General features: G+C 42.3%; 4 annotated features.

Annotated features, from left to right (window-relative positions):
* Positions 3,217 to 3,746: an enhancer, noted in NCBI's record as "H3K27ac hESC enhancer chr13:56150333-56150862 (GRCh37/hg19 assembly coordinates)". NCBI's record gives its function as "activates a minimal SCP1, AML or CMV promoter by ChIP-STARR-seq in primed H9 embryonic stem cells {active_cell/tissue: H9 hESC(primed)}" and the evidence as "EXISTENCE:reporter gene assay evidence [ECO:0000049][PMID:30033119]".
* Positions 4,277 to 4,806: an enhancer, noted in NCBI's record as "H3K27ac-H3K4me1 hESC enhancer chr13:56151393-56151922 (GRCh37/hg19 assembly coordinates)". NCBI's record gives its function as "activates a minimal SCP1, AML or CMV promoter by ChIP-STARR-seq in primed H9 embryonic stem cells {active_cell/tissue: H9 hESC(primed)}" and the evidence as "EXISTENCE:reporter gene assay evidence [ECO:0000049][PMID:30033119]".
* Positions 5,337 to 5,866: an enhancer, noted in NCBI's record as "OCT4-NANOG-H3K27ac hESC enhancer chr13:56152453-56152982 (GRCh37/hg19 assembly coordinates)". NCBI's record gives its function as "activates a minimal SCP1, AML or CMV promoter by ChIP-STARR-seq in naive H9 embryonic stem cells {active_cell/tissue: H9 hESC(naive)}" and the evidence as "EXISTENCE:reporter gene assay evidence [ECO:0000049][PMID:30033119]".
* Positions 10,637 to 11,166: an enhancer, noted in NCBI's record as "OCT4-NANOG-H3K27ac-H3K4me1 hESC enhancer chr13:56157753-56158282 (GRCh37/hg19 assembly coordinates)". NCBI's record gives its function as "activates a minimal SCP1, AML or CMV promoter by ChIP-STARR-seq in naive and primed H9 embryonic stem cells {active_cell/tissue: H9 hESC(naive and primed)}" and the evidence as "EXISTENCE:reporter gene assay evidence [ECO:0000049][PMID:30033119]".

Below are 15,941 nucleotides of genomic sequence, written 5' to 3' on the forward strand. Positions count from 1 at the left end.
TGGGCAGTTTGTTTTAATCCACGTCCCTAAAAGTAAGACACAAAAAAGGCTGGCAAAACATCATCTGATCAAAGGCAATGTTGGGCTTAGTGTCAACAGCACACTGATGGACTAGAGCTTCCAATCGTTTCTCTGCTTACTGAAAAACAAAAATGAAACTGATTGATCTTTTCTTAGTCTTTAAAGCCTTATGAAGGCTTTTAATAATAGGACATGTCCAAAAGAGATGTCTTGCACAGCAGGTGAGTGCCTTAAACACTGGGATACAGGCTTTTATGACAACAAAATTCTTTATTTTTATTTTAGTTTAAGATACAAGGATTTTCACCTTTGAATACAATATAGTATGTGTGTTTGTGTGTGTAGTACTAGCTAAAGATGATTTAAAGAATGTTATCATATCAACTGGGACACTTTAATCTGTAGCACTGAGACTTTTTAATCTGGAGCACAAATTAACATGCTTCAGCTTATCTATCATAATACATAATGCCTGAAAAAAAATTGACAATGAAACATAGGTTTTAAATTTAGGAAATTCAGGAAAATCTCTTTGCTGAGCAAAAACAATTACTTAAAAACTCAGCATATCTCAAGCTTCTTAATACAACCTAATAATTATTAATAATATTCTGAAATACATGCCAGTAAAAGATTTTAACTTTTGGAAATGTTTGAAATATTACATGTTTCTCCCAGACACATAGTTTGTATGAATTAGCCTTCCTCAGTCTCCCAACACCACTGCCTCTTCTAAGAGTGGTATGTCTATCTGTACATCTATCTGTGCAAAAATACATATATACATACACATGTACATACAGATGGAGAGTGAGAACATGTTGTGAGAGAGAATTGTCTGAAAAATATTACATTTATTGTTCTCTATTTGAGAATGGAATATGAAGGTATCAAAAGATTTGCCTCATTAGTAATGATCATATACATGGTTAACTCAATATAAAATATGAACTGTTTTCTATCAATTCTTAGTTTAATTGAAGAGTTTCAAATAAAATCTCTTTTGTTATACCTATATCTACTTGCAAAGTTCCCATAGAAATCAAAAGCAGATTATAATACTTCAGGAGCTGGTTAAATTTCTATTATTCAGGCTCATTATAAACATTGTCATCAGCATGAAGATAGGCTGTTTCCTTTTCTCTTTTTGTTACATTTTCTAGGCTTCAAAAAAATGTCATTTCCATGAAAATTACCCTACTGCAACATTCATTAAACCCTTTTTACTCGGAACCTAGCTGTTTCTCAATCCTCTCAGTTATCTGTGAGAAATCTTGGAAGGGTCAAAACGGCAGAACAATGTTATTCTGTTTTAATATAAAATATGAAAAGGCAAGATATTGTTCAAAGTTGTATTTTTGTGTTGAGAATGTTACAGAGGCACACTACTGAAATAGAATATATTTGAATGTGTTAAATAGAATAATTAATGTGACCATTGGTACAAATTAATTTGTATTACAAATTCCATACAACAATTTTATTGATCTCCTCTGCAGCTGTACTTCCAACATAGAACCTATTTATATCTCATCAGCGAACACTCTAGCAAGTAATCATTGTCACATTCGTTGTAATCTCTGCCTTTCTAATGCCAGAAAAAAATTGTGTGGATTACACACAATTACAACAATGAAAATAAAACCATAACACTTTACACAGAAAATACTCAAGTAATATTTTACCACTATATAATTTTCTTATCTAGATCAACTTTTCCCAGTCATTTTTTACCTGTAAACACTTTTTACAAAAATGTATAATTTCATAAGTTGCCTGGGTATATTTAATCATTTTTATATTAATAAAACAAAGAAAACCTTTAAAAACATAAAAAGAACATTAGCAGCATATTATTACATATGTTGTTATAAAATTTATTTGAATATTATACTTGGCTATATTCATTACACATGAAGTCCCCGTTTGTTTTAACCCATTTGCAAGTGATATACACTGTGATTAACTTTCTTTAATTACATGAGAAAATATATAATTTGTACATAAGTGGATATAACATATTCCATTCAGGACTACCATTTATATAATGAAATTGCGCCATCATAAATTAACTGTATTTAGGACCTAATATGTATAATACTTGAATGCTGTATTTTTAACAAATCCTCTGTGCCATTTTATAAGTTCTCCAATTTTTGTTTAAAAGTTGAGACAACTGAAAATTACTCAGGTGGTCATTTGTTAGCATTTCCCTACAAATGGCTAGCACATAGTACGTGAATATAGCCTTACTTCCAAAGTGACAAAATGATAAACTGAGAAACTAATCAGTGTATTTTATCTCTTTAATATATGTTAATATTTTGCTGAAAAATTACTTTTACATATTAAAATTGCATTTAGTAAGTAATTTTAAAAGTCTTATCAAATAATTGTAAGTCTTAGAACAGATAAAAATCACCTCAGGAAAATTTGAAGAAATATCAACTTTTTATGCTAATTTTTCATTTACATGTTAATATCAGTGTTCTTTTTGCTTTCTTTGTTAACCAAAGGTGCATTTATAAAAAATAAAATGCTCCTGCTGAGTCATAAACTTAGTTACTATCTCATGAGGATGTTTAGTTTCTTTTCAACTAACTGCTCATTTGTTTCTATTTTTAATTTATTTTTAATAGACAAAAATTATATATATTTCTACAACAGGCTGTTTTGAAATATATACATAGTGAAATGGCTAAATTGAGGTAATTAATAGTGTATTACCGCACATACTTACCATTTATTTATGATGAAAACACTTAAAATCTACTCTTAGTAATTTTGAAAAGTACAATACATTGTCATTAACTATAGTCACTATATTTTACAATAGAACTTATTCTTCTCATCTAACTGAAATTTTTTATCCATTGACTAACATCTCCTCATCACCCTCCCCCTGTTCTCCCTCTTATTTGTTTCTTGACACATGCTAAGATGCCCTTAAAGTTCCATTTTAAGAAGAATGTATTTCAATAATTATTCTATCAATCAATTAAAAATAGCATTTCCTTTTTTGTCTATATCCATTCCTTGATATGACTTTATAAAACCACTTCAAAAACTCATGAGGGATATCAAAATAAAGACAAATGTCAGAGCATCTTCCTATAGGATAGCAGACATGTGGACAATAGAACCACATATTGGAGAGAGGTTTTAAGATGCTAACTAGAGACATCAGACACTCTTCCTCCCCAGAAAGAAGTAAAACTGTTAATAGATAATCACACACTGAATAGAATTGAACAGAATTTATCTAGGAAAGAACACTAGAGTTTAAGAGAGAAGTCACAGGAAACACCTGAGGCACAGAAGGAGAGGAAGCTAGCAGCTAGCTCAGCCAGGACCAGCTGGGATCCTGGAACGGCTCCCTATTATAGGGAAAGGGTCAGTGTGAGCCGTTAGGGGTACACAGTCTTACCTTAGACTACTGCAATCCTAACCACAGGAGACCTCTTCCATCTATACAGCTCTGAGATTAGCATAGGTGGGGACTCTACAGCGTGGTGATCTAGAGGCCTGCCAGGGCATTGCTGCAAGCGGGAAACTTGCACCACATCACATAGCAAGACATAAGCAGCTGCAGTAGGGCACTATGGCCAGAGTCCAGCTTCCACCAGACTGCATCCTCTTCTGAGAACCAACAATTCCACATCTTCACACCCTGTGAACCCCCAGTAGAATTCCCTGGCATCCACCTGGAGGGCTTCAGTGGCACAATGGTGGCTGGACCCGATGGTGTTGTGGGGTCCCCAGCACTCTAACCCACAGGGAGTACAACTCCTCAAGGAAATGATAGCGCAGTACATCAAGGAGGCTTCTCCTGAGACAAAGGGAACCAGTGCATGTGCTTGGCAGAACCCAAGAGCTCCCTGCCTGGTATAATGATACCAATGGTACCTGGTACCATTAGGGCAGGGAACCACCCTGCCCTAACTAGCAGCATGGCCTTTGTGCTCTAGCTTATGCACAGAGGTCAAGATCCCTTCCCCAACTCTCCACACTGCTGCAGCCACTGCTGCCTCTGAAAGCCAAAGCAAGCAAACCTTAAATCTGAGAGTCTGGGTATGTAAACAGTAACCACATCCCTATTAGCAGTATGTTCTCAGTACTTGGGCTCATGTGAAAATGGATCCCTTCCCCTTTCTGCATATCACAATAGTGCTGCTGCCACGGGGAGCCAAAGTGAGTGAGCCTGACAGCTGCCTGTCTGAGGATGCAAATAGTAACCCCATTCCCACCAACAACACAGCCTCTGTGCTTGAGTTCACACCCAGAAAGGCAGGATCCATCTGACCCCTTTGAACATGATAGCAGTCACTGACTGCAGCCAGGAGACAAAGCAAACACTACCCAGAAACTGAGAAGTGCCTGTTTGGGGCTCTGAATAGCAACCCTGCCCCCTTCAAAAGCATGGCCTCTGTGCTCTAGTGCATGTCATGAGTGCAGGCTCTTCACACACACCACTGTGGACACTGCTACTGCCAGAGTTGAAAGTGTACACCCCTCAGAACCTGAGAGCTCCCTGCAGGGGACCACTGATAGCAACCCCACCCATACTCAACAGCAGGATCACCACACTCTAGCACCAGCCCAGAGGTCAGGCTCTCCACAACCAACACCACAGACTGCCTGCCCTGCCTACTACCTCCTGGAGCTCTGCACACCCTGATGCCCTGAGATCAGGCCCACCAGACCTGTCACCATTGCTTCCCCCACCCAAAGCATGAGCACCCCTCCCAGGGACCTGGGGATTACCCAACCCCTTCTACCACCTCTAGCATCTGTACCCTACTTCTGGAATCCTGAAGGTGAGCCCATATAGCCTGTCATCAATACCATCAACTACATCCATGCACATGCACAACCAAGGAACCTGGGGACCAGCTTGCTCAGCCCATCATACCAACAGCTAACATTAGTGAGTGCCACATGAGAGCCCCAAAATTATCCTGCCATCACTACTACCATAATCCAGGCCATACATTCGGCTTAAGGGCCTAAGGACTCACCCACGGATCTGGCTTACCACTCCCACTGCCAGCATACAGGAAGACTGCCTGGAGTCTCAAGAATTTGCCCACCTGCACTCACTAAAACTGTGCTTGCATATGCCACCTGGTGGCCCAAGGTCCAGAATGCTTGGCTTACCACTACCTGCCATGAGTGGGCCCTGAGGGCAGAACTACCTGGTATCTCCTGTTCCCAGCACATTTTTTTCATGCGTGTCCCTGTGAAGAGACCACCAAACAGGCTTTGTGTGAGCAATAAAGCTTTTAATCACCTGGGTGCAGGTGGGCTGAGTCCGAAAAGAGAGTCAGCAAAGGGAGATAGGGGTGGGGCCGTTTTATAGGATTTGGGTAGGTAAAGGAAAATTACAGTCAAAGGGGGGTTGTTCTCTGGCAGGCAGGAGTGGGGGTTGCAAGGTGCTCAGTGGGGGTGCTTTTTGAACCAGGATGAGCCAGGAAAAGGACTTTCACAAGGTAATGTCATCACTTAAGGCAAGGACCAGCCATTTACACTTCTTTTGTGGTGGAATGTCATCAGTTAAGGTGGGGCAGGGCATTTTCACTTCTTTTGTGATTCTTCAGTTACTTTAGGCCACCTGGGCGTATATGTGCAAGTCACAGGGGACGTGATGGCTTGGCTCGGGCTCAGAGGCCTGACATTCCTGCCTTCTTATATTAATAAGAAAAATAAAACAAAAAAGTGTTGAAGTGTTGGGGCAGCGAAAATTTTTGGGGGGTGATATGGAGAGAGAATGGACGATGTTTCTCAGGGCTGCTTCAAGCGGGATTAGGGGCGGCGTGGGAACCTAGAGTGGGAGAGATTAAGCTGAAGGGAGGTCTTGTGGTAAGGGGTGATATTGTGGGGATGTTAGAAGAAACATTTGTCATATAGAGTGATTGGTGATGGCCTAGATACGGTTTTGGATGAATTGAGAAACTAAATGGAATAACAGAAGGAGAAAAACAGGTATAAAAGGTCTGAGAATTGGGACGACTCAGGATATCTGATTAGAGAGTGCTTAAGGAGATTCGGCATAGTCCTGCCAGCAAAGATTATTTATTTACTTCAAGAGTTAAAAGTGACAGTTTGGGGATAGCACCAGGAGATATCAGCTGTGATGGCTTGGAAAAACAGTGTAAACCGGCAGTGTAAACCAGAGCAAGGCATGTATGAGTCGTTGAGAATGGTGAATAGGAGTATGACTAGACAGAAGATAGTAGGGATGACAAGTTTTTTTGGGGCACAGTCTAAGTTGGTCTGGTGTCTGGAATGAGACTGGGGCCTAATAAAAAGGAGCATCTATACAGGAGCTTAAATGGGCTGTACCCTGTAGCATTCCGAGGACAGGCCTGAATTCTGAGAAGGGAAAGTGGTAAAAGTATTGTCCAGTCCTTTTTAAGTTGGTGGCTGAGCTTGGTGAGGTGTGTTTTTAAAAGACCTTTAGTCCATTCTACTTTTCTTGAAGACGGAGGACCATAAGGGATATAAAGGTTTCACTGAATACTAAGAGCCTGAAAAACTGCTTGGCTGATTTGACTAATAAAGGCTCGTCTGTTATCAGACTGTATTGAGGTGGGAAGGCTAAACTGAGGAATTATGTCTGACAGAATGGAAGAAATGACTGCGGGGGCCTTCTCAGACCTGTAGGAAAGGCCTCTACCTATCCAGTGAAAGTATCTACCTAGACTAAGAGGTTTTTTTAGTTATCGGTCTCAGGGCATGTTGAGTAAAGCTAATTTGCCAGTCCTGGGTGGGGCAAATCCTTGAGCTTGATGTGTAGGGAAGGGAGGAGGCCTGAATAATCCCTGAGGAGTAGTAGAATAGCAGATGGAACACTGAGAAGTTATTTCCTTGAGGATAGATTCCCATGATGGAAAGGAAATGAGATGTTCTAAGAGGCAGGCTAGTGGCTTGTACTATAGTATAAACTGCCTTTGCTGGTGTGTGGCGATTAGGCCTGGTGGAACCGCCATCAATAAATCAAGCGTGATCAGGGTGAGGAACAGGAAAGAAGGAAATTTGGGGAAATGGGGTGAATGTCAGGTGGATCAGAGAGATACAGTCATGGGGGTCAGGTGTGGTATCAGGAATAATGTGGGAGGCCGGATTGAAGTCTGGGCCAGGAACAACAGTAATTGTGGGAGACTCAACAAAGAGTGTACAGCTGAAGGAGCCGGGAAGCAGAAAGTATATGCGTCAGGTATGAGGAAGAAAATAGATTTTGGAAGTTATGAGAACTGTAGAGAGTGAGTTGAGCATAGTTTGTGATTTTGAGGGCCTCTAAAAGTATTAAAGCAGCGGCAGCCACTGCATGCAGACATGAGGGCTAGGCTAAAACAGTAAGGTCAAGTTGTTTGGACAGAAAGGCTACAGGGTGTGGTCCTGGCTCTTGTGTAAGAATTCTGACTGCGCTAACCATGCCTAGGAAGGAAAGGAGTTGTTGTTTTGTAGGAGGTGCTGGGGTTTGAGAGATCAGTCAGACACGATTGGCAGGGAGAGCACGTGTGTTTTTATGAGAATTATGCCGAGATAGGTAACAGATGAGGAAGAAATTTGGGCTTGATTGAAGTAATGGGGGCTGTCTGTGAAGCTTTGCGGCAGTACAGCCTAGGTAGTTTGCTGAGCTTGATGGTGTCAAGGTCAGTCCAAATGAAAGCAAAGAGAGGCTGGGACGAGGGGTGCAGGGGAATAGTGAAAAAAGCGTCTTTAAGATCAAGCAGGGAATAGTGAGTTGTGGAGGAAGGTATTCAGGACAAAAGAGTGTACGGGTTGGGCACCACAGGGTGGATAGGCAAAACAATTTGATTGATAATGTGCAGGTCCTGAACTAACTTGTAAGGCTTGTCTGGTTTTAGGACAGGTAAAATGGGGGAATTGTAAGGAGAGTTTATAGGCTTTAAAAGACTATGCTGTAGCAGGCGAGTGATAACAGGCTTTAATCTTTTTAAAGCATGCTGCGGGATGGGATATTGGCGTTGAGTGGGGTAAGGGTGATTAGGTTTTAATGAGATGGTAAGGGGTGCATGATCAGTCCCCAAGGAGGGAGTAGAGGTATCTTATACTTGTGGGTTAAGGTGGGGGAATACAAGAGGAGGACGCAAAGGAGGCTTTGGATTGGGAAGAAGGGCGGCAATGAGATACAGCTGTAGTCCAGGAATAGTCAGGGAAGCAGATAATTTAGTTAAAGTGTCTCAGCCTAATCAGGGAACTGGGCAGGTGGGGATAACTACAAAGGAGTGCTTAAAAGAGTATTGTCTAAGTTGGCACCAGAGTTGGGGAGTTTTAAGAGGTTTAGAAGCTTGGCCATCAATACCCACAACAGTTATGGAGGCAAGGGAAACAGGCCCTTGAAAAGAGGGTAATGTGGAGTGGGTAGCCTCCGTATTGATTAAGAAGGGGACGGGCTTACCTTCCACTGTGAGAGTTACCTGAAGCTCGGCGTCAGTGACGTTCTAGGGGGCTTCCGAGGTGATCCGGCAGTGTCAGTCTTCAGCCGCTAAGCCGAGAAGATCTGGGAAGGAGTCAGTCAGAGAGGCTTGGGCCAGAGTTCCAGGGGCTCTGGGAGTGGCTGCCAGGTGAGTTGAACAGTCCGATTTTCAGTGGGGTCCCACACAGATGGGACGCGGCTTAGGAGGAATCCTGGGCTGCAGGCATTCCTTGGCCCAGTGGCCAGATTCCCGGCACATGTAGCAAGCTCCTGTGGGAGGAGGTTCTGGAGGAACGCGTGGCCGCTGCGGTTCAGGCGTTTGGAAGTTCTTGTGTGCTGGAGATGTGGCTGGGGTTTGTCTCACAGTGGAGGCAAGGAATTGCAACTATTTTCTATTATTATACACCTTGAAGGCGAGGTTAATTAAATCCTGTTGTGGGGTTTGAGGGCCGGAATTTAATTTTTGGAGTTTTATTTAATGTCGGGAGCAGATTGGGTAATAAAATGTATTTTGAGAATAAGACGGCCTTTTGACGTTTTAGGGTCTAGGGCTGTAAAGTGTCTCAGGGTTGTTGCCAAACAAGTCATGAACTGGGCTGGGTTTTTATATTTGATGAAAAAGAGCCTAAACCCTATCTGATTTGGGATAAAGAAAAAGGAGCATTAACCTTGACTATGCCTTTAGCTCCAGCCACTTTTTTAAGAGTAAATTGCTGGGCAGGATGGGGAGGGCTAGTCACGTAACGAAACTGTAAGCAGGACCCAGTGTGAGGAGGGGAGGTGATAAAAAGATTATAGCATGGAGGAGCAGAGGCTGAGGAAGAATTGGGACCTAGCTCAGCCTGGCAAGGAGCAGCCTGGGGAGGAAGGGAGAGGTCAGATGGGTCTGCAGAAAAGGAAGATTAGAAAGACTCAGCAATGCTTGGGGTTGGTACTGAGGGGACAGGTGGGAGGGAAAGAAGGAAGATTTGGGACGAGTTGCACTGGGCACAGAGACTAGGAAGTGACTAATGTGTAAAAGAATGCCTGGACGTCAGGCACCTCAGACCGTTTACCTATTTTATGACAAGAATTATTTAGATCTTGCAGGATGGAAAAATTCAAAGTGCCATTTTCTGGCTATTTGGAACTACTGTCAAGTTTGTACTGGGGTCAAGCGGCATTGCAGAAGAAAATAAGGCATTTAGGTTTTAGGTCAGATGTGAGTTGAAGAGGTTTTAAGTTTTTGAGAACACAGGCCAAGGGAGTAGAAGGAGGAATGGAGGGTGGAAAGTTGCCTATAGTGAAGGAAGCAAGCCTAGAGAAAAGAGAGAGTAGAGAAATGGAGGGAAGGGGTTTGGGGGTTCTTACCTTCCAGAAAAGTGGGAAAAGGGGTTGGGGCACAGAGATAAGAGGTTGAGGCATAGAAATAAGGGATGGGGCATGGAAATAAGGGGTCGGGGCATGGAAATAAGGGGTCGGGGCACGGAAATAAGGGGTCGCGGCATGGAAATAAGGGATTGGAGCACAGAGATATGAGGTTGGGGTACTTGCCCCCTCCTCTAGAAAAGTGGGACTTGCCACTAAGAGTGAAGGAGAAGGGGTTGAGGGGTACTTGCCCCTCCCCCAGAAAAGCGGGACTTGCCACTAAGGTTGAAGGAGAAGGGGTTGAGGGGTACTTGCCCCTCCCCCAGAAAAGCAGAGAAGGGGTAGAGACAAGGAGAGAAGGGGTTGGGGTACTTGCCCCTTTCCCAGAAAAGCGGGACTTGTCGCTAAGGGTGAAGGACCACGGCAGGCATCCCTGCGTGGTCTGACACCTTTGAAATGTGGATGAATAATCAGAGAGGTGTCCTTGCAATGATTAAACACCAAGGGAAGTCTGCCTTCCTAGTCCGTGACCGGTGCTGGAGTTTTGGGTCCACGGATAAAACGTGTCTCCTTTGTCTCTCCCAGAAAATGAAGGGAATTGAAATTAAGAGAAGGGAGAGATTGAAGAGTGGAAAGGAGAAAATGGTTGAGGGACAGTGAGAGAGGTTGGAGAAGAGAGTAAGAAGAGGCCGCTTACCTGATTTAAAATTGGTGAGATGTTCCTTGGGCTGGTCAGTCTGAGGACCTGAGGTCGTAGGTGGATCTTTCTCATGGAGCAAACAACAGGAGGACAGGGGATTGATCTCCCAAGGGAGGTCCCCCGATCTGAGTCACGGCACCAAATTTCATGCACGTCCATGTGAAGAGACCACCAAACAGGCTTTGTGTGAGCAATAAAGCTTTTAATCACCTGGGTGCAGGTGGGCTGAGTCCGAAAAGAGAGTCAGCAAAGGGAGATAGGGGTGGGGCCATTTTATAGGATTTGGGTAGGTAAAGGAAAATTACAGTCAAAGGGGGGTTGTTTTCTGGCAGGCAGGAGTGGGGGGTCGCAAGGTGCTCAGTGGGGGTGCTTTTTGAGCCAGGATGAGCCAGGAAAAGGACTTTCACAAGGTAATATCATCACTTAAGGCAAGGACCGGCCATTTACACTTCTTTTGTGGTGGAATGTCATCAGTTAAGGTGGGGCAGGGCATATTCACTTCTTTTGTGATTCTTCAGTTACTTCAGGCCATCTGGGCATATACGTGCAAGTCACAGGGGATGCGATGGCTTGGCTTGGGCTCAGAGGCCTGACAATTTTCACCATAGCTTCCACTAAAAAATGTAGCCAACCACTGCAGAGATTACTGATACCACTATGCTGTTCACAGCCAAAAATCACAGACTATACTGCTGCATGCATCCAGAATCAAAGCTAAAGCACCTTTCCCAGTCATTACCATAGACACATCTTCAGGAAGAAATTCTCCTCTACAAAAGTCAATTCAAGAAGTGACTGTTACGTCAGATGTGCAGATATTTTGCTTATCTTCATAACACGAGGTGGTTTTAGAACACGGAGCAAGGCACTCACTGTACTTAGGGTTTCTTCCCTCCCACAGAAACAAAGATATAGGAATACTATTTTCTATGAAGATTGCATTTCAAAAGAATGGCTCCACGGTCCTTGATAAAGACATTCTTGGCTATAAAACTGGCAAGAGGCTTTCAGAAAGATTTACATATATCTCAAAGGGCACAGGAAAAATTTACAATTACAAGCTTTCTAAAGTAAAAACTGTAAGCAAAGAGAGGTTAGAAGCCTAGATGCATGAAAAAAAAAAAAAAAAAAAACAACGTAAAGTTTGTTCAAGCTGAGGGGAATGGTAAGGTTGCTTTGGCCATTAAGCAAAAAGTCTAATGAGAATAACAAAAACTTTCAGCAATAATTTTGTTTGAAGAAGGAGCGGGTAACATTTTAGTCAGTACATGTTTAAAACTTATCTCATATTTATGAAATAAAGAATAGTTCATGCCAAAAAGATTTATACATAAAAAGCTCAAAATCAAAGTTGGTTGATACAATCTAATGTTGTTAAAATTGTCAAAGACATCCTAGCATACCTTCAGTAAATCATATTATCTTTCTACTTCAACATAGTAGAGGGCACGGAGATGAAACCAGCTCTGTTTATTAGGTTTTCAAAAGCCATTGATATGACACTATGGAAGAATCTATTACCTTCTTGTCTACAATAAAAATTATGATTGTGACTGAAGAACATTTTTGACACTACACATGTATTAAGATGTGGTATGAAAATAAGCACTTGTATAAGTACATTTGGATTCTTACAATAAGCCTTATTCTATCATTAATTTTTACAAGAATGGCTTAAACCTTGAGATGTGGAAGATAATACTATTACACTGCTTATATTTATTTTATTTATATGATAACACTTCTGAGTTGAGAAAGGAAGGAGGGAGGGAGGAAGGAAGAAAGGAAGGAAGGGAGGGAGGGAGGGAAGGAAAAAGCCTTGCAGAGTGTTTAAGATCTCTTGTATAAAAATATTCATTAGAAGGCCAGGTGTGGTGGTTCATGCCTGTAATCCCAGCACTTTGGGAGGCTGAGGTGGGCAGATCACGAGGTCAGGAGTTTGAGACCAGCCTGGCCCATATGGTGAAACTATGTCTCTGCTAAACATACAAAAATTAGCCAGGTGTGGTGGCACACACCTGTATTCCCAGCTACTCAGGAGGCAGAAGAATCGCTTGAACCCAGGAGGCAGAGGTTGCAGTGAGCTGAGATCATGCTACTGCACTCCAGACTGGCCGACAGAGTGAGATTCCATCTCAAAAAAAAAAAAAAAATTATTCATTAGAGAAAGACTTGTTCTACAAAAGTTTTCATTCATTACATCAGGCTTTTTTTTTTGGCAGAATAATGATTTTGATAGCTACTAAATTAACAGTTATTTAAAAAATTATTATCCTATTTATAAAACCAAGACCATGTAGAGGGCTTCTCTTTTATTTTTATCTACAAGTCAGCAGTCACTTGAGGTTAATTAAAATTGATTTATATGCAAAAAACCTCCAATAAAGACAAGTGGGTTTTTTGTTTTGTTTTGTTTTTTGTTTTGCTCTCAAGTATGAATGAGAACATGCATATTTGTCTTTCTGTGCCTGACCTATTTTGCTTAATATAAGTCCTCCAGTCTGATCCATGTTTCTGTGAATGAGAGGATTTTATTCTTTTTTATGTTTGAATTGTATTCCAGTTTGTATATATACCACCTTTTTAAAAGAAATGTTTCATCGTTTGATGGACATTTAGGTTGTTACCATATCTTAGGTATTATAAATAGTTCTACAATATATTGGGGGTGCAGGAATTGTCAGAGGTGTTTGAACCAGAGCAACTCCATCATGAATAGGAGCTGGGTAAAATGAGGCTGAGACCTCCTGGGCTGCATTCCCAGGAGGTTAGGCATTCTAAGTCACAGGAACAGCATGGAGGTTGGCACAAGGTACACGTCATAAGGACCTTGCTGATAAAACAGGTTGCAGTAAAGAAGCTGGATAAAACCCCAAAACCAAGATGGCAATGAGAGTGACCCCTGGTTGTCCTCACTGCTCATTATATGCTAATTGTAATTTATTAGCATGCTAAAAGACACTCCCACCAGGGCCATGACAGTGTAAAAATGCCATAGCAATATAAGAAAGTTATCATATATGGTCTACGAAGGGGAGAAACCCTCAATCAAGCTGACACTCAGTATTAACCATCACAAGTCCATCCTTTGTCAACTTGAACCCATACACATCTCCTGAGATCATACATAATCTTCAAATAAAGACAATAATAAGGTAGTAGTTACATCTAACATAATACAACTATCCTTTGTACAACCGGAAACACATTAATCCCCAACCCAAATACTATTACATAAAGTTAACAATATGTAAATGCTGATGTGAAGTAAATAAATCTTATGTCACATGATAAAGGAAAAAGGAAATAAAATGAAGATATTTTCTTAGTGCAAGTGTATACATGCACAAACATGTTTTTAACAAAAGAAAGAGGAAATACTCATGACAATTACTGTACTTATTTCTGCAGCTAGTCACATTGCCATAGATGGTAAGGATGACTACCTTCTACATATTCTGTATTCCCTTTGCCTTCAGCAAGCACCTCAGCAGGTCGTGGTTTTTTCCCTGGTGGAGTGATCCAAATCTTCATTACTGAAGGGTCTGGGCCATTTGTAGTCCGGCCTGGATTAGGCTGTTGCAGTTTCCCCTTGAACTTAATCACAGGGCTTGTTAATACTAAGAGATGACCTAATGGATCTCCTATATCCATACTCTTCCTTACCTCCATTGTGGAGTAATAGACTGATTTCATCTTGATAGTCTGGGTCAATCAGCCTTGTCCACACTATAACTCTCTCCTTAGCCTATTGACTAAAAATAGGAGAAGCACAAAGTGTCCAGGTGGCAATCTTAACACCAGTCTAATGGAATCATTATTGTGTCTCCTGGTGGCAGCGTTTCTCCCTCTGGAACTAAGACCTCTAGGCCAGCAGAACATAACGTCGTGGTAACAGGGGGCAAAAATTTTGTTATTGTATCACTAGGGGTGATTATGAGTGGTGCCCTTCCACCCCTTCATTCCTGGACCCGTGAATCCTGGCTATGGGAGAAACAGTACCATGTATGGGACGGTGATTCAGAGCATACATGGCCTTCTGGAGAACTTTGCCCCAGGCCTGCAAAGTATCGTCACCTAGTTGCCATTGTAATTGTGACTTCAAAAGGCCATTGCACCATTCTATCATTCCAGCTGCTTTAGGATGATGGGGAACATGGTAAGACCAGTGAATTCCATGAGCATAAGCCCACTGCCACAATTTTTTAGCTGTAAAGTGAGTGCCTTGGTTAGAGGCAATGCTGTGTGGAGTACCGCAATGGTGGATAAGGCATTCTGTGAGTCCATGAATGGCAGTATTGGCAGAAGCATTGCATTCAGGATAGGCAAACCCATATACAGAGAAAGTGTCTATTCCAGTGAGGACAAATCTCTGTCCTTTCCATGATGGAAGAGATCCAATATAATCGACCTGCTAGCTGGCTATCCACCCTGAGGAATGGTGCCACATCGAGGGCTCAGTGTTGGTCTCTGCTGCTGTCAAATTGGGCACTCAGCAGTGGCCATAGCCAGGTCAGCCTTGGTAAGTGCAAGTCCATGTTGCTGAGTTCATGCAAAACCTCCATCACTGCCACCATGGCCACTTTGTTCATGGGCCCATCGGGCGATGACAGGGGTGGCTTGGGAAAGAGGCTGAGTGGTGTCCACAGAACAGGTCATCCTATCCACTTGATTAGTAAACTCCTCTGCTGAGGTCACCCATTGATGAGCATTTACATGGAATACAAATATCTTCACAGTTTTTGACCACTCAGAAAGGTCCATCCACTTATCTTTTCCCCAAATTTCTTTGTCACCAATTTTCCAATCCTGCATTTTCCAAGTCCTTGACCATCCAGCTAAACCATTGGCTACAGCCCATGAATCAGTATATAATCGCACATCTCTCCGTTTCTCCTTCCATGAAAAGTATACAACCTGAAGTTCTTCCTATGGGGAAGATGTCCCTTCAGCGCTGTCCTTCAGGCATGTCCTAGAAAGGGGCTGCAGTGCTGCAGCTGTCCACTTTTGGGTGGTACCTACATAACGTGCAGAACCGTATGTGAACCAGGCCCAAGTCTTCTCTTCCTCTGTCATCTGTTAATAGGGAACTCTCCATAAAGCCATGAATGCTGGCTGGGGGAGAGAAGGAGGATGGCAGGAATAGAGACCATGGGCATTTGACCACTTCCTCATGTAACTTACCTGTACCTTCAGGACCTGCTCAAGGCTGATCATGTATACATCACTTCCATTTGATGATAGAATGCCGCTGTGCACAACCCACTTTATGGCTGGATAGGTCAGAAAGCACCCAGTTCATGATAGGCAGTTAGGTTACATGGTGACTTGTTGACCCATAGTCAAACGTTCAGTTTACACCAAAGCCTAGTAACATGCCAAGAGCTGTCTTTCAAAAGGAGAGTACTTATCTGCAGGAGATGGCAGGGC

The sequence above is a fragment of the Homo sapiens genome, chromosome 13 (assembly GCF_000001405.40).
Source record: "Homo sapiens chromosome 13, GRCh38.p14 Primary Assembly".
In the NCBI taxonomy this organism is placed as follows: Eukaryota; Metazoa; Chordata; class Mammalia; order Primates; family Hominidae; genus Homo; species Homo sapiens.